This window comes from Homo sapiens, chromosome 20 (genome assembly GCF_000001405.40).
Source record: "Homo sapiens chromosome 20, GRCh38.p14 Primary Assembly".
Lineage (NCBI taxonomy): Eukaryota > Metazoa > Chordata > Mammalia > Primates > Hominidae > Homo > Homo sapiens.
In genome coordinates this window covers 50812615-50835991 of record NC_000020.11, presented here as the reverse complement: position 1 = coordinate 50835991, position 23377 = coordinate 50812615, and the positions used below count along the sequence as shown (strand labels likewise).

The 23377-nt window shown below is 49.5% G+C and overlaps 1 protein-coding gene across 7 annotated transcripts in view, besides 9 other annotated features; it reads right to left on the bottom strand.

Moving 5' to 3' along the window:
- Positions 1 to 23377, bottom strand: part of BCAS4 (breast carcinoma amplified sequence 4) — an 87783-nt gene that overhangs the window by 46685 nt on the left and 17721 nt on the right. For 5 of the 7 annotated variants that reach the window (XM_011528887.3, XM_011528886.3, NM_017843.4 and 2 more), the window contains exons 2-3: positions 17710 to 17781; positions 5612 to 5713 (exon numbers count right to left, since the gene is read on the bottom strand). In XM_011528887.3, the coding sequence (XP_011527189.1) occupies positions 5612 to 5713; positions 17710 to 17781 (174 nt within the window). Of the gene's footprint in view, positions 1 to 30; positions 3284 to 5611; positions 5714 to 17623; positions 17782 to 23377 lie in introns of those variants that run through there. The other 2 variants (XM_017027932.2, XM_047440278.1) reach the window with 2 other exon arrangements.
- Positions 1683 to 2182: an enhancer, noted in NCBI's record as "H3K4me1 hESC enhancer chr20:49450347-49450846 (GRCh37/hg19 assembly coordinates)". NCBI's record gives its function as "activates a minimal SCP1, AML or CMV promoter by ChIP-STARR-seq in primed H9 embryonic stem cells {active_cell/tissue: H9 hESC(primed)}" and the evidence as "EXISTENCE:reporter gene assay evidence [ECO:0000049][PMID:30033119]".
- Positions 13741 to 14070: an enhancer, noted in NCBI's record as "active region_18105". NCBI's record gives its function as "activates an Ori minimal core promoter by ATAC-STARR-seq in GM12878 lymphoblastoid cells {active_cell/tissue: GM12878}" and the evidence as "EXISTENCE:reporter gene assay evidence [ECO:0000049][PMID:35858748]".
- Positions 15135 to 15636: an enhancer, noted in NCBI's record as "H3K4me1 hESC enhancer chr20:49436893-49437394 (GRCh37/hg19 assembly coordinates)". NCBI's record gives its function as "activates a minimal SCP1, AML or CMV promoter by ChIP-STARR-seq in naive H9 embryonic stem cells {active_cell/tissue: H9 hESC(naive)}" and the evidence as "EXISTENCE:reporter gene assay evidence [ECO:0000049][PMID:30033119]".
- Positions 16620 to 16669: an enhancer, noted in NCBI's record as "active region_18104". NCBI's record gives its function as "activates an Ori minimal core promoter by ATAC-STARR-seq in GM12878 lymphoblastoid cells {active_cell/tissue: GM12878}" and the evidence as "EXISTENCE:reporter gene assay evidence [ECO:0000049][PMID:35858748]".
- Positions 17157 to 17206: an enhancer, noted in NCBI's record as "active region_18103". NCBI's record gives its function as "activates an Ori minimal core promoter by ATAC-STARR-seq in GM12878 lymphoblastoid cells {active_cell/tissue: GM12878}" and the evidence as "EXISTENCE:reporter gene assay evidence [ECO:0000049][PMID:35858748]".
- Positions 17217 to 17266: an enhancer, noted in NCBI's record as "active region_18102". NCBI's record gives its function as "activates an Ori minimal core promoter by ATAC-STARR-seq in GM12878 lymphoblastoid cells {active_cell/tissue: GM12878}" and the evidence as "EXISTENCE:reporter gene assay evidence [ECO:0000049][PMID:35858748]".
- Positions 20668 to 20837: an enhancer, noted in NCBI's record as "active region_18101". NCBI's record gives its function as "activates an Ori minimal core promoter by ATAC-STARR-seq in GM12878 lymphoblastoid cells {active_cell/tissue: GM12878}" and the evidence as "EXISTENCE:reporter gene assay evidence [ECO:0000049][PMID:35858748]".
- Positions 20898 to 20947: an enhancer, noted in NCBI's record as "active region_18100". NCBI's record gives its function as "activates an Ori minimal core promoter by ATAC-STARR-seq in GM12878 lymphoblastoid cells {active_cell/tissue: GM12878}" and the evidence as "EXISTENCE:reporter gene assay evidence [ECO:0000049][PMID:35858748]".
- Positions 22012 to 22061: a silencer, noted in NCBI's record as "silent region_13028". NCBI's record gives its function as "represses an Ori minimal core promoter by ATAC-STARR-seq in GM12878 lymphoblastoid cells {active_cell/tissue: GM12878}" and the evidence as "EXISTENCE:reporter gene assay evidence [ECO:0000049][PMID:35858748]".

Genomic DNA, 23377 nt, shown 5'->3' with positions numbered 1-23377 from the left:
GAGCCGAGATCGCGCCATTGCACTCCAGCCTGGGCGACAGAGCGATACTCTGTCTCCGAAAAAAAAAAAGAAAAGAAAAGAAATACATCATCTCCCACTTGATCTTAAAATCCATGGCCCTCTTGGGACCTCACTTAGGACTCCCCCCTTTTAATGGAGCATCAGTTACAGAGAAATCTCTCTCTACTCTAAGGAAAGCAGACGTGCAGGGGTGTTGACAGGAGGTGAGTGCCACTCAGCCTCAATGTTGGTGAGACTCTAGGGCAGAGTAAGGTCTGTGACAGCCGGGAGATTCACGCCCCACGGTGGTGACAGTTGCTTCTGAGCTCCAGCTGCTCCCAGAAAGGAATGGGGAGAGCTTGGGGTTGGTCTTCTAACACCTGGTCCCTCAGCAGTCCTGGCTCCTGTTGGCATCTGAGTTTGCAATCTCTATCTAAAACTTATAGTAGGCCAGGCATGGTGGCTCACGCCTGTAATCCCAGCACTTTAGGAGGCCGAGGCGGGTGGATCACAAGGTCAAGAGATCACGACCATCCTGGCCAACATGGTGAAACCCCGTCTCTAATAAAAATACAAAAAATTAGCCGGGTGTGGTGGCAGGCGCCTATAGTCCCAGCTACTTGGGAGGCTGAGGCAGGAGAATCACTTGAACCCGGGAGGCAGAGGTTGCAGTGAGCCGAGACTGCACCACTGCACTCCAGCCTGGAGACACAGCAAGACTCCATCTCAAAAAAAAAAAAAAAAAATTATAGTAGTTGCGGGTGGGAGTTCAAAATAGTGTAGTCACTTTGGAAAACTGTTTGAAACGTCCTAAAACGAGTTGAGTTCAAAATGGTGTAGTCACTTTGGAAAATTGTTAGAAACTTCCTAAAACGAGTTTCCATAGCTCTCCTAAAAAGATCTGCCAATAATTCCACTCCTAGGTATCTACCCAAAAGAAATGAAAACATATGTTACACAAAAACTTGTACGCAAACGTTCATAGCAGCATTGTTTACGACAGCCGTAAAGTGAAAAGCACCCAACTGTGCGCCAGCTAATGCATGGACAAATGAAGTATGGTCCAGCCATATACCAAAAGATGACTCAACCACAGAAGGAATGAGGTCTTGGCACATGCTACAACATAGATGAACCTTGAAACCATTATGGCAAGTGAAAGAAGCCAAACACAGAAGGCCATATATGGTATGATTCCATTAGCATGAAATGTCCAGCACAGGCAAATCCAGAGACAGAAAGTAGATGAGTGGTTGCCAGAGCCGGGGGCTGGGGAATGGTTGCTAATAGACATGTGGTATCTTTTGGGAAAACGTTCAGGAATGAGATAGTGCTTATTATTGTATCACCTAGTAAATATACCCCACACCTCCAAATGGTATACTTTAAGAATAATCTGCTGGACGTGGTGGCTCATGCCTGTAATCCCAGCACTTTGGGAGGCCAAGGCAGGTAGATCACTTGAGGTCAGGAGTTCGAGACCAGCCTGGCCAACATGGTGAAACCCTGTCTCTATTAAAAATACAAAAATCAGCCAGGTGTGGTGGGCCTTCCTGTAATCCCAGCTACTCGGGAGGCTGAGGCAGGAGAATCGCTCGAACCTGGGAGGCAGAGGTTGCAGTGAGCCAAGATTCCGCCACTGCACTCCAGCCTGGGCAACAGAGTGAGACTCAGTCTCAAAAAAAAAAAAAAAAAAAAAGAAGAGTTCGAGACCAGCCTGGGCAGCAACTTAGTGAGCCCCGGTCTCTACAATGAATGAATGAATGAATGAATCAAAAAAAGAATAATCAATGTAGACTTTCTTCTTTGTGGGGAGCGGGGGTTACAGCAGCTGCAATCCCTCTGATGGGTCCTGTCATTCTAAGAACAGGGTCCACACTCCAGGCCTCGGCCCTACCCTATGGGCTACACCCCTCACTCCGTCTCATTCCTGACCTTGAGCTCCTCCCAGGCCCCAGGTGCCTGAGAAGCTGCCTTTTCCCGCCTCTGGACCTTTCTTTGCACAAGCTGCTCCCTCCCCAGGATTCCTGCACCAAATCTCAGGCCTTAGGTTCCAGGTCACACACTTGGGAAGCCCCCTCTGTTCCAGCTCTGGCCAGGACCCCTTGGTGTGTGCTCTTGCGGCTGACCCACCCCACCCGGCCTGCTTCCCTGTCTAATGCTCCTCCAGGACCACCTGCAGGGAAGCCGACATCTCCCCTCGGCCATATGCCCAGCACCCATCTCAGGGCAGCCTACAGTGCAGCAAACGTTTGTTGAATACGACAAGGATTTGGGTGTAAGAACCTCACCACCGTAACTCCCATTTTACAGGGAAATGAGGCTCAGAATTTTCTGGAGGTCACACACTAGGAGGCAGCAGCACTAGGACTTGAACCCAGGCTATGCAGCTCTAGATCAGCGCTTTGAAACGCGGCAATCTTGCCCCCCAGGGGACATTTGGCAACATGTTTGGTTGTCACGCTGGGGAGTGGGGTTGGAGGGATGCTAATAGTATCTTGTGAGTGGAGGCCAGAGAGGCTGCTAAGCAACTTACAATGCCCAGAACAGCCCCACAACAAAGAATTTTCCAGGTCAGCAGCACTGGAGCTGAGAAGCCTGGCTCTGGGGTGTGTGCCCCTAACCACTAGGCTGTCCTGACTCTTCGGCGGCTTCCTCCTCCTCAGGATAAAGGCCAAAGTCCTGACCTTGGATGGCAAGGGTTGGACAACCTGGCTGCTGCTGCCAGTTTCTTCGGCCCCACTGGGGTCCGAGTCCCCTTTGCCCCCAATACCTGGCTTCCCAGGATCCTTCCAACATCCCAATCTCCTCCTTGCTCAGAGCCAAGATCCTGCCTGGAGCCCCTGCCTGAGCTGCACCCACCTAACACGGTTCCCACAGTTCCCCCACCCACCTAACACAGTTCCTTCCACTCATTCTCCAAGGTCCTGTAGATCCCATACCTCCGTCGCTACTTCCCTTCACAGCACTTGCCTAATGAAAGCAAATCCTGGAGAAGTGTGGGCAGCAGAACGATGGCTCCCAAAGATGTTCATGTCCTAGTCCCAGAACCTGTGAATATGTCACCTTCCTTGGCAAAAGGGATCCTGCAGGTGTGATTAAGTTAAGGATCTTGGAATGGGAGGTCACTGTGAATCATCCAGGTAGGCCCAACGTAATCTCAAGGGTCCTTACAAGAGGGAGGCAGGAGGGCCAGCAACAGAGAGACAGGAAGATGTCACTCCGTGGGCTTTGAAGGAGGAGGCAGGGGCCACGAGCTGAGGAATGCAGGCAGTGCTAGAATCTGGAAAAGGCAAGAAAAGAGGCAAAGAAAGGCAAAGATTCTCCCCAGAGCCTCCAGAACGGGCCAACCTGCCACCACCTTGACTTTAGCCCCATAAGGCACATTTTGAGCTTCTGACTTCCAGAACTATAAGATAATAAATGTGTGTTGTGGATGAGTGTGGTGGCTCATGCCTGTAATCCCAGCACTTTGGGAGGCTGAGGCGGGCAGATCTCTTGAGGTCGGGAGTTCGAGAGCAGCCTAGACAATATGGCAAAACCCTGTCTCTACGAAAAATACAAAAATTAGCTGGACGTGGTGGAAAGCACCTATAATCCCAGCTACTTGGGAGGCTGAGGCAGGAGAATCACTTGAACCCGGGAGGCGGAGGTTGCAGAGAGCCGAGATCATGCCACTGCACTCTAGCCTGGGGGACAGAGCAAGACTCCATCTAAAAAAAAAAAAAGTGTGTTGTTTTCTTTTCTTCTTTTTTTAAAATTGGGCAGCGTCCTGAGCCAGGGTAGGCTCAGAGAGGCTCGTGTGTTGTTTTAAGCCACTGAATTCATGGTAATTTCTCCCAGCAGCGATAGGAGGCTGATATGGTAATACCCTGCTGAGGGTCTCTCCTGGCCCTCAGTCAACATCAGTGGACTGAATGCTCAGAAAGGAACCGGGCCTGACAGCTGGGCCAGCCCAGGCCAGGCGAGAACCAGGCTGCAAGTCTTCACATTTTCTTTCCTCTTTCAAACGTGTGGAATAAAATTCAAATGAATCAGCTATTCCAAGGGCAAAGTTTTAATTATATTCCTGCTTCATTCTCTGCTGACAAGAATGTTAATTCTCTGCTACCTCGGTGCTGACAGCCACGCCTGCTCCCTCCCTCTGCAGCTTGGGAGGGGCTCACGTTCCCTCTGGCCAGGTGACTATGACACAACCGCAAGCTCCTCTCAGCCTCCGGGTCCTCTGCTGTGCAAGGAGCCAGGGTCCCAAGCCCAGGGCCCCAGGTGGATGAAGAGTGTCTGCACTGGCACATATGAGCTGGAGTCCTGTCTTGATGTAACTAGTGTGACCCCAGAGAAGTGGCTGACCTTGCAAAGCTTATGCTCCTCTTCCAGGAGATGGGGGCAGTGAGGGGACTGACTGCAGTGCAACAAGGAGGAAATGAGATGCCATGCATCTTAGCCAGGCAAGTAAAAGATGGGTGAGCTACGTCAGCGGTAAGGCAACAGGGCATGGTGGGGACTGTGGAAGACTGGAGAGCCCACGCCCTTCTGAGGAGCAGCAGCCACCAGCTCCACCCATTTTTTTTTCTTTTTTGAGACAGAGTCTTGCTCTGTTGCCCAGGCTGGAGTGCAGTGGTGCAATCTTGGCTCACTGCAACCTCTGCCTCCCAGGTTCAAGTGATTCTTGTGCCTCAGCCTCCTCAGTGTGTGTCACCACGCCCGGTTGATTTTAGTATTTTTAGTAGGGACAGGGTTTCACCAGGTTGGCCAGGGTGGTTTCGAACTCTTGGCCTCCATTGATCCACCCGCCTCAGCCTCCCAAAGTGCTGGGATTACAGGTGTGAGCCACTGCGCCCAGCCTCCATCCATTCTTGCAAGAACACTGCAAGAATGCAACCCAGGGGCTGGAAATGTTCTCTCTCTCAATTTGGGTCATCATCACATGATGTCGATATATGTAAAAATTCACTAAATTACATACTTAGGCGTGTATACATTGTATATTTATGCCTTGAAACATAAACAGATTAAAGTATTTAAGGAAATGTGGGCCCAGGGTTATCAAAGCTTCTGAATTTTCAAAAGCTTAAAATGCAGATTTTTATATAAAGTACCCTGATTTTTAAATGTTGGAAACAAATTCTTTTTTTTCGTTTTGAGACAGGATCTTGCTCTGTCGCCCAGGCTGGAATACAGTGGCACAATCAATGCTCACAGTAGCCATGACCTCCTGGACTCAAGCCATCCTCCTACCTCAGCCTCCCAAGTAGCTGGGACTAGAGGCATGCACCACAACACCTGACTAGTTTTTGTATTTTTTGTAGAGATGGGGTTTCGCCATGTTGCCCAGGCTGGTCTCAAACTCCTGGGCTCAAGTGATCCTCCCACATTGGCTTCCCAAAATGCTGGGATTACAGGCATGAGCCACTGCACCTGGCCTGGAAACAAATTTTTACTTGTGATTTTTTTGAAATATCACTTGAGTGCAGACTCCCCAACTCCCACCACCAACCCCCTGCATTGGGCATAATGCCTGACATGCTCAAGGCCAGATCGGCGTCTTTGCGGAAAAGGCAAAAGCAAGATCAAGTCCACAGCCTCAGAACCTTCGTTTGCCTAGACGTACCTCTAGCCGGTCCACTTTGGCATAGATGCCACGCATTTCTGTCAGTTTGGCCTTAAGGACTGGGATGTTTTCCTCCAGGATCTGTGAAGTATCACTCCTGATCTGCAAGGAACAAAACAGCTCATCAGGCCTTCTGCCCCATCACTGTGTCCTCCTGCCTGCCTCAGAGGTTGGCCAGGGTCTACACAGACCCCAATGATGGCTGAGGTGCCAGGTGGCATCCTGCGCAATACAGGCCCAAGAACAACTCAGAGCCCCAGGGGAGGACCAACATCGTCGCCTCTGTGGACCCAGACCTACCCAGGTATTATGTACTGAACCACAAATTAATCACTTCCCACCAACCACCCAGCAACACCAGTCCCAAACTAAATATCTTCATTTTCTAAACCACTGAACTGGAGCGAATGGAAAGAATCAGAATCTCTTCTCTAAACCAAAGTCAAAGTCAGTCCAGTTTTCATTGCATTGGAATTAATATTAACAAGTTGATCATTACGAATAATATTCATTAATAATGTTAATGAAAGCCACAACTCTTATGTATCAGATGCTTCCGACACGCAGGCACTGTCCTAAGTACTTCCTTGCACCATCTCCTTTAGTTTTCATTTTCTTCTGCTTGGCAAGGGCCCCAAAAGTGAACTGTATGAAGCCACATATTTTTCCCTTGATCACTGATATCAGACGCTGATGGTTCCTTTTTCCTTCAGAACCCAAGGACCAAGCCTAACTCTTCTGTGTGTGTGAGAGAGAACGAGAGATTCCATTTTCATGTTATCATATCCTCGCTGTGCAAAAAAGGCCACATATTCATGGCTCTCAAATTCTGGGGAGCGGCTGGGCGTGGTGGCTCACGCCTGTAATCCCAATACTTTGGGAGGCCGAGGTAGGTGGATCACCTGAGGTCAGGAGTTCGAGACCAGCCTGGCCAACATGGTGAAACCCCGTCTCTACTAAAAATACAAACATTAGCTGGGTGTGGTAGCACACACCTCTAATCTCAGCTACTCGGGAGGCTGAGGCAGCAGAATCGCTTGAACCCGGGAGGCGGAGGTTGCAGTGAGCCAAGATCAAGCCATTGCACTCCAGCCTGGGTGACAGAGTGAAACTCCATCTCAAAAAAGAAAAAAAATAAAATTCTGGGGAGCAACTGAATCTCCTGGGGGAAGCCTTTCAAATGCTGATTCCCAGCCTCTCCTAGTTTGAGAATCCGCACTTTCAGCCAACAGTCTGAGGCAACGTTGGAATAGGAATCTGGGGACCACTGTTAGAGAAACACCAGTGGGCACAGCAGGAGCTGGACTAAGGAGTCAGGCTAGTGTTTAAATTTAGCTCTACCCACCATGAGCTCTGTGACCTTGGGCAACTCACTGCACCTCTCTGAGCCCTCCTTTGCTCACTGGGACAGTGGTGCAAGACGATGGTCCTTCTTTCGCTGGGATACTGAGGATGAGCTGTTTAGCACAATGCTGGCGTGGAGTGTGGAGGCGGCTTCTGATGTGCCCCCCGTGGTCTCACCCTCCTGGTATCCTCACCCTCATGTAATCCCCTCCCCAAGATTTTGGGCTGAGCCTAGTGACTCACTTTTGTTTGTTTTTTGAGACTGAATCTGGCTCTGTTGCCCAGGCTGGAGTGCAGTGGCACAATCTCAGCTCACTGTAACCTCCGCCTCCCAGGTCCAGGCGATTCTCCTGCCTCAGCCTCCCGAGTAGCTGGGACCACAGGCACGCACCACCATGCCTGCGTAGTTTTTGTATTTTAGTAGAGACGGGGTTTCACCACGTTGGCCAGGTTGGTCTTGAACTCCTGACCTCAAGTGATCCACCTGCCTTGGCCTCCCAAAGATCTGGGATTACAGGCATGAGTCAGCACTCCTGGCCCCAGATTTTTATTTAAAATTTTTTTTTGAAAACTATACCTGTTTTTCCTCCTCTTTCTGCCTAAGTACATCAGACTTCTTGTGGTTATCGTGAAAATCTGCTCCCACCACTGTTCAGGATAACATTTCCCCCTTGCCCTCGGTTTCCCGAGACCTTTGCCCCATTGCCCTGTACGTCTAAAACCAAACTCCTCCATGCCTCTCCCCACGCCTAGCCCTCCTCTGGTCACAGCACTGCCATCTCTCTGGGCACCTAGCTCTAGGTGTCCAGTGTCCTCAGGGATACTCGTTTTTCACGCTCTGATCCCACAAGGTCAAAAATCGGCCCTGAGAGGGTGGCATGTGGTGTCAGGCTGCCCAGCCTAAGCCCCTGCTCCACTGTTCTCCACTATGACACCAGGCTGGTCCCCTAGCCTCCCTGGGCCTCGGTTTCCTCATCTCATATTTTGAAAAAAAAAAAAAATTTTTGAAGGCCGGGCACAGTGGCTTACACCTGTAATCCCAGCAGTTCGGGAGGCCAAGGTGGGCAGATCACCTGAGGTGAGGAGTTCAAGACTAGCCACAGCCAAAATGGAGAAACCCTGTCTCTACTAAAAATACAAAAGTTAGCTGGGCATGGTGGCGTGCGCCTGTAGTCCCAGCTACTCGGGAGGCTGAGGCAGGAGAATCGCTTAAACCCGGTAAACAGAGGTTGCAGTGAGCCAAGATGGCGCCACTGCACTCCAGCCCGGGCGACAGTGCAAGACCCTGTCTCTAAAACAAATAAAAATTCAAGTGGGGCTCCCATGAGAAATGGCTGGTTCTAGGACTGAGCTGAGTCTGGAGCATCTTGTAGCACCAGAAAGCAAGAAAGTGTTCCACAAAATAAAGGATGAGATGGGGCTTACCCAAGGGACACAGAAGCCAACCTGCAAGAGTGAAATGGCCAAAGCTGGGACAAGCTGAGCAACAAAAAATTAACATAGTATTAGATCAAAGCTCCAAGTACAAAGTAAATGTGCACAAACCTAATATGTGCAGAGGATTGAATGGGTCTGGAAAGGGGGAAATGGCAAATTCCACTGGAGAAAGCCGCAGGCACCACCTTATGCAGGCTCACATCCGTGATGCCATGTGGGCATCGGGGACCCTCTGATGGGATGTGATAAGAAGGCTCCTCCTCTGTGGTGATCGTTCCATAAATTCCTATCTCCAGTCTAACCACATGAAAAACATCACAAAAATCGAGGGACCTTCTACGAAACACCTGACCAGCATGTCTCAAAACTGCACAAGTGATGAAAAGCAAGGTAAGACTGAAACTGTCACAGACCGGAATAGACTAAGGAGATGTGACAACCTCGTGCCATGTGGCACCTTAGACTGGATCCTGGAACAGAAAGAGGACACTCATGAGAAACTGGTGACATCAAAACAAAGCGTGGAGTTCAGTGAATAGCAACATACCAATGCTGGTTTCTTCGTTTTTTTTGTTTGTTTGTTTGTTTGTTTTTGGTGGGGGGTCGTGGGTTGTTTTTTGTTTTTTTGTTTTTTTATAGGGTCTTGCTTTGTCACCCAGGCTGGAGTGCAGTGGTGTGATCATGACTTGTTGCAGCCTCGACCTCCTGGGCTCAAACAATTCTCCAGCCTCAGCCTCTTGAATAGCTGGGACTACAGCTGTCCACCACCATGCCCAGCTAATTGTTTATCTTTTGTAGAGACAGGGTTTCACTGTGATGTCCAGGCTGGTCTTGGACTCCTGGCCTCAAGCTATCCTCCTGCCTCAATCCAAAGTGCTGGGTTTACAGGCGTCAGCCATTGTGCCTGGCCCCTTAGTACTGACAAATGTACCATGGTGATGTGAGATGTTAACAATGGAGGCCAGGAGCTCAAGACCAGCCTGGGCAACATAGCGAGGCACCATCTCTATTAAAAAATTAAAAATGTATTTAAAAAAACTTTAGGGTTAATATGGCAACTCTCTGAACAATCTTTGCAATTTTCCTGTAAATCTAAACTATTCCAAAATAAAAAATACATAAATATGGTTTTAAAAATTCAAGTAATTAGGTCTGGATCTACAGCTTCTCTTAAGTCAGCAGCTTTGGCAATGATGGGCCTGAGTCTCCCCGGGCAGCAAAGGCTGGGACTGCTCCCTCCAGATGGGCCTGATCACTGGGGTTTCCACAGTCATCACCCCTCCCCATTGTCTCACCCCAGCTCCACGCTCTGCCTGGCTCCAGCATTTGTTACCAGTGACAGGGAAAGGTCCTCAGTCTCCTCCCTTTCTTCCCCAAGGCCAGATTTCTAGAGAGAAGCTCATTCCTCAACAAGGCTAAACTTGGAGAAAATCACCCTGATGTAGCAAAGAGCAGATAATTAATTCCAGGGCAAGGTCAGAGCACCGGGGAACAAACTTGAATCGTATCCTTCTGTTAATTTCTAAAGAAACAAATCGGGGGAGTGAGAATGAGCTTGGGGGTATGGGCTGGGATTGGCAACCTACAGCAGACAGAGAAAGTGGTAGAAAGGAGACTCAAGGACCACCCTCGCCCCCTAAATCCCAAAGAATTGGGAATAAAGAAGTCTCTTTTTTTCCCCCTTATTTTTGTTTATTTAGTTTTGTTTTTGTTCTTGTTTTTTTGAGACAAGTCTCACTCTCTCTCCCAGGCTGGAGTACAGTGGCACCATCTCTGCTCACTGCAACCTCTGCCTCCTAGGTTCAAGTGATTCTCTTGCCTCAGCCTCCCGAGTAGCTGGGATTACAAGCACCTGCCACCATGCCTGGCTAATTTTTGTATTTTTAGTAGAGATGGGGTTTCACCATGTTGGCCAGGCTGGTCTTGAACTCCTGACCTCAAGTGATCCTCCCACCTTGGCTTCCCAAAGTGCTGGAATTACAGGCATGAGCCACTGCTCCTAGCCTGTTTCTTATTTTATTTTTAGAGAAATCCCTTCTCTGATGCAGCTTCTCCAATGGCTGAAACTGAAGGCAACAGGGAACTGTTTATATCTGCCCAGAGGTTTACCGTAGTTACTCAGAATGAGGGGCCAGGGAAGGCAATCCTAGGGGCTGAAAGGCCCCAAACCTTACCTCTTGGTTCCACCCTGGGCTGGGAACCATAAAAGAAACTTTAGGGCCAGGTGCGGTGGCTCACACCTGTAATCCCAATTCTTTGAGAGGCCGAGGTGAGAGGGTCACTTGAGGCCAGGAGTTCAAGACCAGTCTGGGCAACACAGTGAGGCACCATCTCTATTTTAAAAATTAAAAATTTATTAAAGGAAAAAACAGAACTGTAGGGTTAATGTAGGTCCAGTCTAGAGGGGCACGATACCAACAGAGCACACTCCATGAACTCTCACCATGTGCTGGGAACAGGCCCTGTGAGGCAAGAACTATTTCCTCTTCAACCTTATTTTATGGGAGATAAAACCGAGGCTCAGAGAAACTAAATGAGCTGGCCCAAGGTCACAAAGCTAAAAAGTGGGAGAGGGAGGAGTCTAATCCAGATGGGCCTGAGACCACCCTTCCTAACACCAGAGGTCTACAGATGTCATTCATCGGGCAAAGGCAGTGTCAGCCCAATCATGCCTAAAAAAAACAAAAAAAGTAAAACCAAACCAGATGCCAAGATATCAAAGTCAGGATATTTCCCTTAGAAACCCAGATCTCTGACTTCTTGTGAAAAATCAGGAGACCTGGACACACTGAGCCAAGACCTGGCCACACTGAGCCCATGTTCCACATGGCAACAATCAGCTGGAGCTGAGTGGCAGCTGCCACTTTTGTTAACCCCAGTCCCCATCACTCCCTACAGTCTCCCCAACATGGAATCCATAGCTACCCAGAGGAGCACTTTCTTCTTATGGAGGACTCAAAAGGAAAGTGACACATTTCTCATCTCCAACTCACTTCTCATTACATTACAGGTGTTTACATTTGCACGCCTTGGGCTACGCTCTGAGAAGAGCAAACAGATTTCAGTGAAAAAGCCTCCATGCTCTAGAGCCTCTCCCAGGACAAACACCCAACCAGGTGTGCTAGCCTGGAGGCCCCAGACCCTTCCCCCAACTATCCTCCCACCTCTCCAGACCTGGTCTCCAGAACCCAGAAGTCTGGGCAGCAGGTTCTGAGGTCACCACAGAGGAAAGTCATCTGTCCAGAATGATTCAGGCCCCTAGGAAGGAGAGCCAAAGGCATTTGACCCAAGAACATGCACCCACGCCAAATGCAACTGCTGGGCCAAGGCCAACAGGAAATGTTCTCCATTTATGTGAGCGAAGTAAGACTCTGCTCCTTGGCAGAAGGTGGGCCGAAGGCCACTGGAGTTTCAGAGGGACTGGACAAGCTACCCAAACCCCAGAGGGCACTGAGCTGAAAGGCTTTACAAATCCAGCCTTACTGTGGATAACTTCATCAGTGTCATGCCCCTCTGGTGCTTTGGTAACAATGATGATGGCATTAGTAGCTGCCATTTGTTAGTCATTTAATAAATAGCACTGTGCTATTTATTATAATATTATAATAAAAATTATTAATAAATAGCACTGTGCTCAGCAACGATCTTTAACTGGGTGTAAGTGACACAAAGGAAAGTTCACAGCTCGTAAGTGGACAGCTTGATGAATCCGCACATATGTTTACATCTGTGTAACCACCACCCAGACTAAGATATAGAATATTTCATCACCCCATAAGGCCTCCTGTAGGCCATGACTACCCTCCCCAAACCAACCACTACCTGACTTATACCACCCATAGATTACTTCTGCCTATTCCTGAACTTCAGACTAGTGGAATCGCACAGAATGTATTCTTGTGTCAAGCTTTTCTTTTTAAATGTATTATTATTATTTAAAAATAAAGATGGGGTCTCCCTATGTTGCCCAGGCTGGTCTCAAACTCCTGAGCTCAAGCAACCCTCCCACTTTGTCCTCTCAGAGAGCTGGAATTACAGGTGTGAGCCATCATGCCTGGCCATGACTTCTTTCGTTCAATATCATATGTGTGAGATCATCTATGTTGCTGTGTATAGCAGTCGATTCTTTTTCATTGCTGTGTAGTATTCCAATATATGCATAAATCAATAATTGCTTTACTCATTCTACTGCTGACGGACATTTGGGTTGTTTCCAGTTTGGAGTATCATGAATAAGCCTTCTTTTTTTTTTGGGCCGGGGGGACGGAGTCTCACTCTGTCACCGAGGCTGGAGTGCAGTGATGCAATCTCAGCTCACTGCAACTTCCGCCTCCCGGGTTCAAGTGATTCTCCTGCCTCAGCTTCCCAAGTAGCTGGTACTACAGGTGTATGCCACCGCACCCAACTAATTTTTGTATTTTTAGTAGAGACAGGGTTTCGCCATGTTGGCCAGGCTGGTCTCAAACTCCTGACCTCAGGTGATCCACCCGCCTCGGCCTCCCAAAGTGCTGGGATTACAGGCGTGAGCTACCACGCCTGGCGAATAAGGCTTCTATGAACATTTGTGTGTGAATTTTTGTGTGGTTTGGGCACTTGTTTTCATTCCTTATCGGTAATGACAAGGACTAGAATTGCTGGGATGTGGGTTAAGCACATGTTCAACTTTGTAAGAGGCTGGGTGCAGTGGCTCACGCCTGTAATCCCCAGCACTTTGGATGGCTGAGGCGGGTGGATCACTTGAGGTCAGGAGTTCGAGACCAGCCTGGCCAACATGGTGAAACCCCATCTCTACTAAAAATACAAAAATTAGCCAGGCGTGGTGGTGGGCACCTGTAATCCCAGCTGCTGGGGCACGAGAATCGCTTGAACCCAGGAGGCAGAGGTTGCAATGAGCTGAGATAGCGCCACTGCACTACAGCCTGGGCAACAGAGTGAGACTGTGTCTCCAAAAAAAAAAAAAAAACCTGTAAGAAACTGCCAAGCTGTTTTCCAAAGTGGCTGTAGTTTTTTTTGCATTTCTACCAGCAATGTATGAGAGCTTCGTTGCTCTACATCCTTGCCAACACTTGGTATTTTGGTGGTTTTTAAGATCTAGCCATTCTAGTGGGTGTAAAGCACACATCTCTGCCTCATCTATTCCTTACAGTAACTCTTTGGAGATGGAAACTATTTGTAGTGGATTAAGGACAGCTACAAACTCCTTAATTCCTTCCATGAAGGGGTAGAATACAGTTTCTCTCCCCTGATTCTGGCTGGGCTGTGTAACTGCTTTGACCAATAAACTACAACAGAAGTGACACTGTGTCAGTTTCCATACTTAGGCCTCAAGACATGTGGCAGCTTCCTTCCTGCCCACTGGACTGCTTGCTCTGGGGAGGTCAAACAGCCATGCTACGAGGAAGCCCACGCCAGCCACGTGGAGAGCGTGCACGGGGCAAGTTACACCAACCAGCCCCAACCAGCCCCAACCAGCCCAGCCCAGGTACCAGACAAGTGATGAAGGAGCCAGCTTCGACTCAAATGAGCTGAGTCCTCTGTGCCCTGCTCTAGCCCACAAAATAAATGGGTGGTTGTTTTACATCACCAAATTTTCGGGTAGTTTGACACAGCAATAGATAATCAGAACCATTATTTTCATTTTACGGAGGAAAAAATAAATGTTCTGAGAGGTAACGTGACATGTCCATGGCCCCACAGTAGAAGGAATCAGAAAGTGAAGTGCCAACAATTGGCATTATATCAAATGTTAAAAGAGGTCCCAGAACAGAGGGGTGAATTTCAGTGACAGAGAGTGATCAAGACAGGCTAATGGAAGAACTAATAGAGCAGACGGGAAGCTGGACTTTGATTTCTAACAGCCTAATTTTATCTGAAAGGAAGTGGCTTCTCTCTAAACCGTGCAGCCCAGGGCCTGCCTTCTCTCGGACCTGTAAATTGATCAAACAGTGTTTCTGAAGACCGAGGCAGGGACCTGGGGGGACAGTGGTCCGTGGTGTGACATCACCTGCTCCTAGAGGACCCTACTCATCCCTAACTTGGATTTCAAAGCAGCTCTTAAAGAGAAAAAAGAGGCCCCAAGCTAGGGCTGATCACCGGACACCTCTCTCTGTAGTCATGTAGCCCCACAGCACACAGCAGACATACCAGGTAAGCCAAGCATGAACCTCTAGGGGCCAAGAGGATTTCTAGAATATAAATGGCATTGGCACAGCGTGCCCATGCAGGGGCTGTAAGCTCAAACACCCCCAGGGGTCCCACAAGCGTCACATATTTGCAGAACTGGCTGGGCACATTCTGTCAACACAGACACATGGGAAGAGTCTTTGCTTCCAAAAGGATGCATGTTCTCTTCCATTTCTTGGAACATGGGATCCTCTTGGTCTGGCTTTACTTTCCCACTTTCAGTAGGGTCAAAAGAACAGAGAAACATCATCTATCAAAAATACACAAGCACGTGGCGGCTGTGGAGTCAGGAAGGCTCCCCGGGAGCAGCCAGCACTGTATCAAGCTGGAAAGCACGCTTGCTGCCCACAGCAGGTGGTCGCTTGCTTGCCACGTGACATGGCGGCCGATGCTTGCAAGGTAGGAATGAGTACCCCAGGAGGGCCAGATCTTTGCTTTTCTGAGAGAAGCCGGAACTCTAGATTTTTCACATGAAATTCTAAAAATGTCACAAGCTAATGCCTGCTTTTTTCCCCCCCAGAAACATCAAATTATCTGCAGGCAGGATTGGACCTGTGGGTCATCTGTGTGTGGCCTCAGGATTAAATCTTTCCATGAAGCATCTCCAGGCTTCGAGTTAGGAGGACCTGCCTGATGCTGCCTGCAATCTTGAGTCTCCTGGCAACACAGACACACACACTTCCCACCACAGGAAGCTGTGATGGTTTTTCAGGGCTGGGCCACATGGGTCTCTCCGCCTGTCCACATGGACTTCTGCCCCCAGCCCTCTTCAGGCTGATGCTGGGTCTCCTTGCGCAGAATGCCCATGTGGATGACGGGATGGGATTTGAAAACAAAGGTGTCCCTGGAGCATCCATCCACACCATCCTCCCGACCTGCCTTCCCTGCCCGCAACCACGATCCTTCACCCAGTGCCCAGCCATACCACATCCCTGGCCTCCCCGCCTTTGCACAGGCTGGTCCCTCTGCCTGAATGCACTCCTTCCCCATCTGTTGAATTCTCTATTTCTCCTTACAGCCCCAGATTCATCACCACCTGTTATACGAAGCCTTCCCAATTTCCTAGGCAGGACTTAGCACCCCTGGCTCTGGAATCCCTTCACACCTTGACCTTACCTTGACAACAGCACTGTAGCATGGGACGGCACCAACTGATACCCAAATCAGTCTCCCCACATACACTGGGGCTTGATGGGAATGGAGATGGACTGAACTCTCTTTGCATACTCAAGTTTATGACGGGGCCCATTCATGAGAAAGTGCCCAATGCAGCCGGGCATGGTGGCTCACGCCTATAATCAATCCCAGCACTTTGGGAGGCCGAGGCGGGAGGATCACTTAAGGCCAGCAGTTCAAGACCAGCCTGGTCAACATGCTGTCTCTACTAAAAATACAAAAATTAGCCAGGCATGGTGGTGCATGCTTGTAATCCCAGCTACTCAGGAGGCTGAGGCAGGAGAATCACTTGAACCCGGGAGGCAGAGGTTGCAGTGAGCCGAGATTGCATCACGGCACTCCAGCCTGGGGGACAGAGCGAGACTCTATCTCGAAAGGAAGGAAGAAAGGAAGGAAGGAAGGGAGGGACGGAGGGAAAGACGGAAAGACAGAAAGACGGAAAGACAGAAAGACAAAGACAGAAAGAGAAAGAAAGAGTCCAATGCGTGGTGGTAAAGAAAGGACAATCCAGGCTGTTAAAAGCCTGTCTTGTTACCTAGCTCCCACCTGGACCCACATCTGAACGTAAAAATTGACTCAAGAGAAGAAACCATATAGGTCCTCTTGGGATTTCTGCTGTGACCCTAGAGGCTGGGCCGAGGTCCGCTGAATAGGTAGGGATGACTCAGTGCCTGCTGTCTAGGGTGGCTTTGTGCCGGGCACAAAGAAAGGCGTTCAATGAACATCTGGGGCTGCTGTTACTGTTACTCCCTTGGGTTCTCACAAACACTCTCAGGGTCCGGACACGGTGCTTCTCAGGGACATAAACGCACACCACTGGGCCCAGGTGGCCAGGCTTCCTCCACTCTGGGGAGACACAGGGCCTGGTCACAATATGGAGCTCTACCCTTTGGGCCTCCAGGCAGACACCTCAAGCCCAGGTTACTGGTTTGCCTCTAATAAGCTTGGGAGCTTCTAGAAAATTCTATCAGCACTCCTGGGGGCTCCACACCTGGCTGGCAGCAATCCTAGGAACACTGGGATCTAGAAGCAATTTCTTTTTCTTTTCTTTTTTTTTTGAGACACAATCTTGATCTATCACCCAGGCTGGAGTGCAGTGGCGCAATCTCAGCTCACTGCAACCTCCACCTTCCGGGTTCAAGCAATTCTCCTGCCTCAGCCTCCTGAGTAGCTAAGATTACAGGCGCCTGCCACCACACCCGGCTAATTTTTGTATTTTTGGTAGAGGCAGGGTTTCACCATGTTGGTCAGGCTGGTCTTGAACTCCTGACCTCAAGTGATCTGCCCGCTTTGGCCTCCCAAAGTGCTGGGATTACAGGTGTGAGCCACTGCACCCAGCCTCTAGAGGCGATTTCTAGAGACTCTGGCGTGGGAGGCTTTGTCTTCTGGGCCATTGTCTTCCATCTTCCTCCTCAGCCAGGCTAGTAGATTTGGGCCAACCAGACAGAGTAGGAGGTAAAAGCAGAGAGAACAGAAGGATTCAGGAAGGAACTCGATGCCCAACTCCACCACGGGCTGTGGCCTGGGCAAGAGGCTCCTCCTAGGCCTCGCAGGCCTGAAGCCATTTCCTGGCTGTCTCCATGTTTGCACAGGGGACGGTGCAGAGCTGAGGAAAGTTAAATATAGTCTAGCGTCCCCGCTGAACGGCTCCCTGCATCGGTGCCCGAGAGTGCCACCTTGTGGTCCACTCCTGGCTCCTCTGCGGAATAAAAACCATCTCGAGGGAAGGACGAGATCAAGATGGCCGCCTCAGGAAGCACTTGGGGTTGAGTGAGAGAGAGAGAGCGAGAGAGAGAGAGAGGAGGGAGTGTTTGCACGTGGCTTTCCTCTCAGCGCTGGCCGCTGCCCCATTCCTCCTGGTTGCTAACTCACCACCAAAATGGCTTCCGCAGAAAACTCCAGCAAGGGCCTGAAGTCTGGCCTGGGCCTAAACCCACGCCTTCCAGGCAGCCACTCACCAGGTCAGCCAGGCTGCAAAACTCTTCCAGCCTGAGGAGCATGCCCTCGATGGTCTCCTCCACCTCCTTCGCCTGAAAAAGAGACGATATCCTGGAGATTAGCAAGTGGTTTCCAGGGAGACAAACACCCTTCATTTTTTTTTTTTTTTTAAAGCAAACTAAGTCTTAGGATTATGTGCCCGGTTCCTGCTCGACCCCCTTCCACTGCCTCCTTTGAAAGAGCAATAAACAGGCAGCAGTCCTGGCGCCCATCACGGAGGACTGGTTAAAGCCACCACGGCCTCTCCATTCTATGCAGCTTTCAAAAGAGACAAGATCAACAAATACAGGAAATAACAAAGCTACCCGTATCCTCCACGTTGTACAGATGAGGACACGGAGGCTCAGAGAGGTGGGGTAACCTGCTCAAGATCACACAGTTAACAAACAGCGGGGCAAGGATCCTAATCCAGATGGAGTCCACAACCTCACAGCCTGCTCTAATAAACACAGTGGCCCCGGTGATACCCCGGAGAGGAAAAGCAAGCTGCAGACGGTGTCAGATACAAACCATACCAAAAAAAATGTGTGAGGCGGGCGGATCACCTGAGGTCAGGAGTTTGAGACCAGCCTGACCAACATGGCAGAACCCCGTCTCTACTCAAAATACAAAAATTAGCCGGGCATGGTGGCGTGTGCCTGTAGTCACAGCTACTCCGAGGCTGAGGCAGGAGAATCGCTTGAACCTAGGAGGCGGAGGCTGCAGTGAGCCAAGATTGCACCACTGCACTCTAGCCTGGGCAACAGAGCGAGACTCCGTCTCAAAAAAAAGTACATGTCTTCACAGAGAAAGGCCTGGAATGATATGTGCCAGACTGCTAATAGTTAAGAGATGTGCTTATACTTAAAAAATTTGTTGTTTATCTGAAATTCAAATTCAACCGGGCATCCCATAGTTTCTTTGGAAACCCTATTAACAGGGCTTACTTAGCCCTGGGCAGGAGGAGTTGGGAAAGGGACTCTGACAAGGGAAACTTGAATTTTTTATGTTATGTAAAGGGTCCATGGCCGGGAGCAGTGGCTTATGCCTGTAATCCCAACATTTTGGGAGGCCGAGGCAGGAAGATCACTTAAGTCCAGGAATTCGAGACCAGTCTGGGCAACATGGTGAGACTCCATCCCTTTAAAAAAAAAAAAAAATTAGCCCAGGTGCACTGGCTCACGCCTGTAATCCCAGCACTTTGGGAGGCTGAGGCGGGCAGATCACGAGGTCAGGAGATCGACACCATTCTGGACAATGTGGTGACCCCATCTCTACTAAAAATACAAAAATTAGCCGGGTGTGGTGGCACACACCTGTAGTCCCAGCTACTCAGTAGGCTGAGGCAAGAGAATCGCTTGAACCCGGGAGGCGGAGGCTGCAGTGAGCCAAGGTCACACCACTGCACTCCAGCCTGGGCGACAGAGCGAGATTCCGTCTCAAAAAAAAAAAAAAAAAAAAAAAAAAAAAAATTAGCCAGGCATGGTGGTGCATGTCTGTAGTCCCAGCTACCCAGGAGGCTGAGGCTGCAGTAAGCAGTGATCGCACCACTGCACTCCAGGCTGGGCGACAGAGTGAGAACTTGTCTTTAAAAAAAGAAGAAGAAATAAAACCCAGTCATCAGGCTGGACATTAACATAAATGAGTGAAACAGGCCATCAGGCTTGTGATCTGAGAGGTGCTCATCCAGTCCTCCAGCTGCTGGCCACTAGCTGCCATCAGGAAATGCAGGCCCGGAGCTGCCAGATCTTTCCATTTTCCAAGAGAAGCCAGAAATCCTAATTTGATAGGAAATGCCCCAATGTTTAAACATTGGAACACATTTAAAAAACCCTTTAATGCTTCACAAATTAAGCCAATAACGAACGTGCAGAGGGCCTGCCAGTGTACAACTGCTTCATGCACTTGTGTAAAAATTAGGGAAATAATTAGCGGTTTGGCCAGGCGTAGTGGCTCACGCCTGTAATCCCAACACTTTGGGAGGCCAAGGTGGGCAGATCACCTGAGGTCAGGAGTTCGAGACCAGCCTGACCAACATGGCGAAACCCCGTCTCTACTAAAAATACAAAATTTAACCAGACGTGGTGGCACGCGTCTGTAGTCCCAGCTACTCAGGAGGCTGAGGCAGGAGGACTGCTTGAACCCAGAAGGAGGAGGTTGCGGTGAGCCAAGATTGTGCCACTGTACTCCAGCCTGGGAGACAGAGCAAGATCTGTCTTCAAAAACAAAAAAGAAAAATTAGGTTTTTTTTCCCCCTCAAGTTATCTACTACTTTTATGACTTCTAAAATACCAGTTTCTGTTGTTATTTTTGTAATGGCCAGCATTCAGGAAGAAAGTTCGCCAAGCACATGATCTGCTTTCCCTACCAGGCCACACCGTCCTGCTCCAGGGAGGCGTGCTCAGAGTTTCTGGGCAGGCCTAGTCCCTGCCCCCTGCACCTGAAGGCTCCCTCACCACCCACTTGTCCCCAGAGAACTGTTTATACAGCACCAGTTCCTGCTGCTTCCAGCATGAGCCATCTCCACCACAACAAAATAAACGACTGCACAAAAAAACATCTTTCAGGCTGGAGTATAAATAGTACCAAGTTGCAATTTTAAACTCTGCAACCTTCATCTCACAGCTGGGACTATTTCTGTGCCTCAGTCGGGGAGAGGGGAGAGAAGACGGGGAAAAAGAAAGATCATTCCCCCACCCAACCCCAAAATTAAATTACAATGAGAAAATGTCATTATCGCACTAAGGGAGAAAGGATGGAGCCAAGAGGTCACTGTGGTTAGAGGAGAAGATTGGTTGTTCTTTCTGGTCCAGGGGAAAGAAAGAGAAAGAGAAAGAGAGGAGTGGGGCACAGCGGGTGATGGAGAGATCCTGGGAGTGCAGGTGCACACAACGCAGACACGGGTCCAGACATGCTTAAGAACACACAACCTGCATGGGAGGCCACGGAAGCCCATGCCCCAGCGGGGTGGGATGCCTCCTTCCCAAGATGTTTCTGCAGCACTGTGCTTGTAGGAAGTGCATTGCAACCCATCCTGGCCTGCTCAGGAAGGGCACGGCGTGGTCACGGCACTTCTGGGTTCACCTTACCCTCTGCCAGCCATGCAGCTGGAACCCAATGGCTTAACCTCTGCATTTCACTGCCACTGGATCCCCTGTGACAGGAACCATCAGGCCCGTTTGGCAGAATGGTCAGGAGGTTAACCTGACATCATAGATGTGGCTAACTGATTTAACAGAGTGCTGACACACAATAGGTGCGTGATAAGGGGTTGCATTCCATAGCTCGCTTTCTCTCTTTTTTTGTATTTTAATTTTTGCAGAGACAGGGGTCTCACTATGTTGCCCAGGCTGGTCTCAAGCTCCTGGCCTCATGCAATCCTCCTGCCTCAGCCTCCCAAAGTGCTGATATTATAGGCATGAGCCACTGCACCCACCCAATCTCTTTCGCCATAGAATAAAAACAAGGGCTAGTCACTGTATTTGAATTACCTCATTTACTTCTCACAAGAACCCTATGCAGTAGGTGCTACTATTTCCCTCTTTTTACGGATTGAGAAACAGAGGATCAGAGAGGTTAAGTCCCTTGCCCAAGCTCACACAGCTAATAAATATTGAAGCCAGAATTCGACCCTGAGCACTCTAACTCCAGAGCTAGAATGTGTAACAAGATGTTCTTTGGGGCTGGGTAGAGCGGCTCATGCCTGTAATCCCAACGCTGGGAGGCTGAGGCCAGAGGATCGCTTGAGCCCAGGAGTTCCAGTTTAGCCTGGGCAACAGTGGGAAAGTTTGTCTCTATAAAAAGAAAACTAACTGGGCATGGTGGTGCACACCTGTGTGGTCTCAGCTACTTGAGAGGCTGAGGTTGGGAGGGTCACTTGGGCCCAGGAGGTTGAGGCTACAGTGAGCTGTGATGTACCACTGCCCTCCTGGGTGACAGAGTGAGATTGTCTCAAAACAAAAACAAGATGCTCTTGGGGGAAGTTAGAAATGTGTCCCCTTTGTTGCTGCTTGTCAGCTATGGTCAGTCCCCCACCTCACCCCCTGGTATCTAGGGAGGTTCCCAAAAGCAGGAAGGATCAAAGCGAGAGTTTGCTGACTGTCTGGTCAGCAAAGGGAGAAACAAGCCCAAGACATTCCCGACCAACAGGAAGGCGCTCAGGATAAGCCAGCCCACCATGCCCACAAATCATCCATGGGCAATTTTCTCTCAAGATTATCCCCTAAGTGGCCTCAGAAATGAGAGTCCCGCAGGCTGCAGCCCACGTGCCTTTTTAACCAGCCTGTGAGCAGATGAATGCCCTCGCTGTTCTTCGCAACCCCCTGGGCATAAACTGCTCCACTCAGAGGGGAAGGAGGCGAGAGGCTCACTTTAAGTGACATTCAAGGAAGGACCAGTGGAGATGGTGAGTGGGTTTTTTTTTTTTAAACAAACACCTGCGAATCATGGTTTTCACTTTTTTTTCCCACATCCCCGCTTCTCACAAAGTGGCAGTGCAAGCTTCCCAGCTGGGAATGCCCAAACATTGAAGAGGGGCTGGCCCTGCTCACCAAGGGGCTGGCACAAAAAAAAAAAAAAAAAAAAAAAAAGGTCCTCCACCCATGATCTTCTCTAATTCAACAAATGGAAACTCCATCATCCTCTCGTTCAGGCCAAATACTTCGGAGCACCCTTGACTCTTCTCTCCCACCTTCCACCCCATCCAATGTGCCAGCAAATCTTCTCATTTCTACCTTCAAAATGTCTCTACCCAAATCCAACTACTTCACTCTCTCTCCCATACAACCAAGCACCATGGCGCAAGTCACCGTCGTCTCTTGCTAGGACTCTTGCAGTAGCCTGCTCGCTGGTCCCAGCTTCCTGTTCTTACTGCCCTTCAATCTACTCTGTGCAGTCCTGTTAAGACAAAAGCTCTCCCCACCCCAAATCCTCCACTGTACCACTTTGCACTCACAGGGATGGCTGCAATCACAAAAATGGAAAATGATGAGGGCTGGCGAGGATGTGGAGGAATTGGAAGCCTCACGCACTGCTGGTGGGAAGGGTACAATTGTGCAGCTGCTCTGAAAACCAGTCCAGCATCTCCTCAAAAGGAACACAGAGTCAACTTATGGCCAAGCAATATACCCGAAAGAAATGAAAACAGACCAGGCACAGTGGCGCACACATTTAGTCCCAGCACTTTGGGAGGCTGAGGCAGGCAGATCACTTAAGCCCAGGAGTTCAAGGCCATCCTGGGCAACATAGTGAGACACCGTCTCTACAAAAAAAAATACAAAAATTAGCCGGACATGGTGGCATGTGCCTGTATTCCCAGCTACTTAGGAGGCTGGGGTGGGAAAAGCACTTGAGCCCAGAAGATCAAGGCTGCTGTGAGCCATCATGGCGCCACTGCACTCCAGCCTGGATGACAAAGCAAGACCCTGTCTCAAAAAAATAAAAAATAAAAATAAATAAAAAAGAAATGAAAAATATGCTCTCACAAAAACTTGCACAATATTCATTACAGTCAAAAAGTTGAAAAGCCTGGGTGTGGTGGCTCACGCCTGTAATCCCAACACTTTGGGAGGCCGAGGCAGGCAGGTCACTTGAGGTCAGGAGTTCGAGACCAGCCTGGCCAAGATGGTGAAACCCCCTCTCTACTAAAAC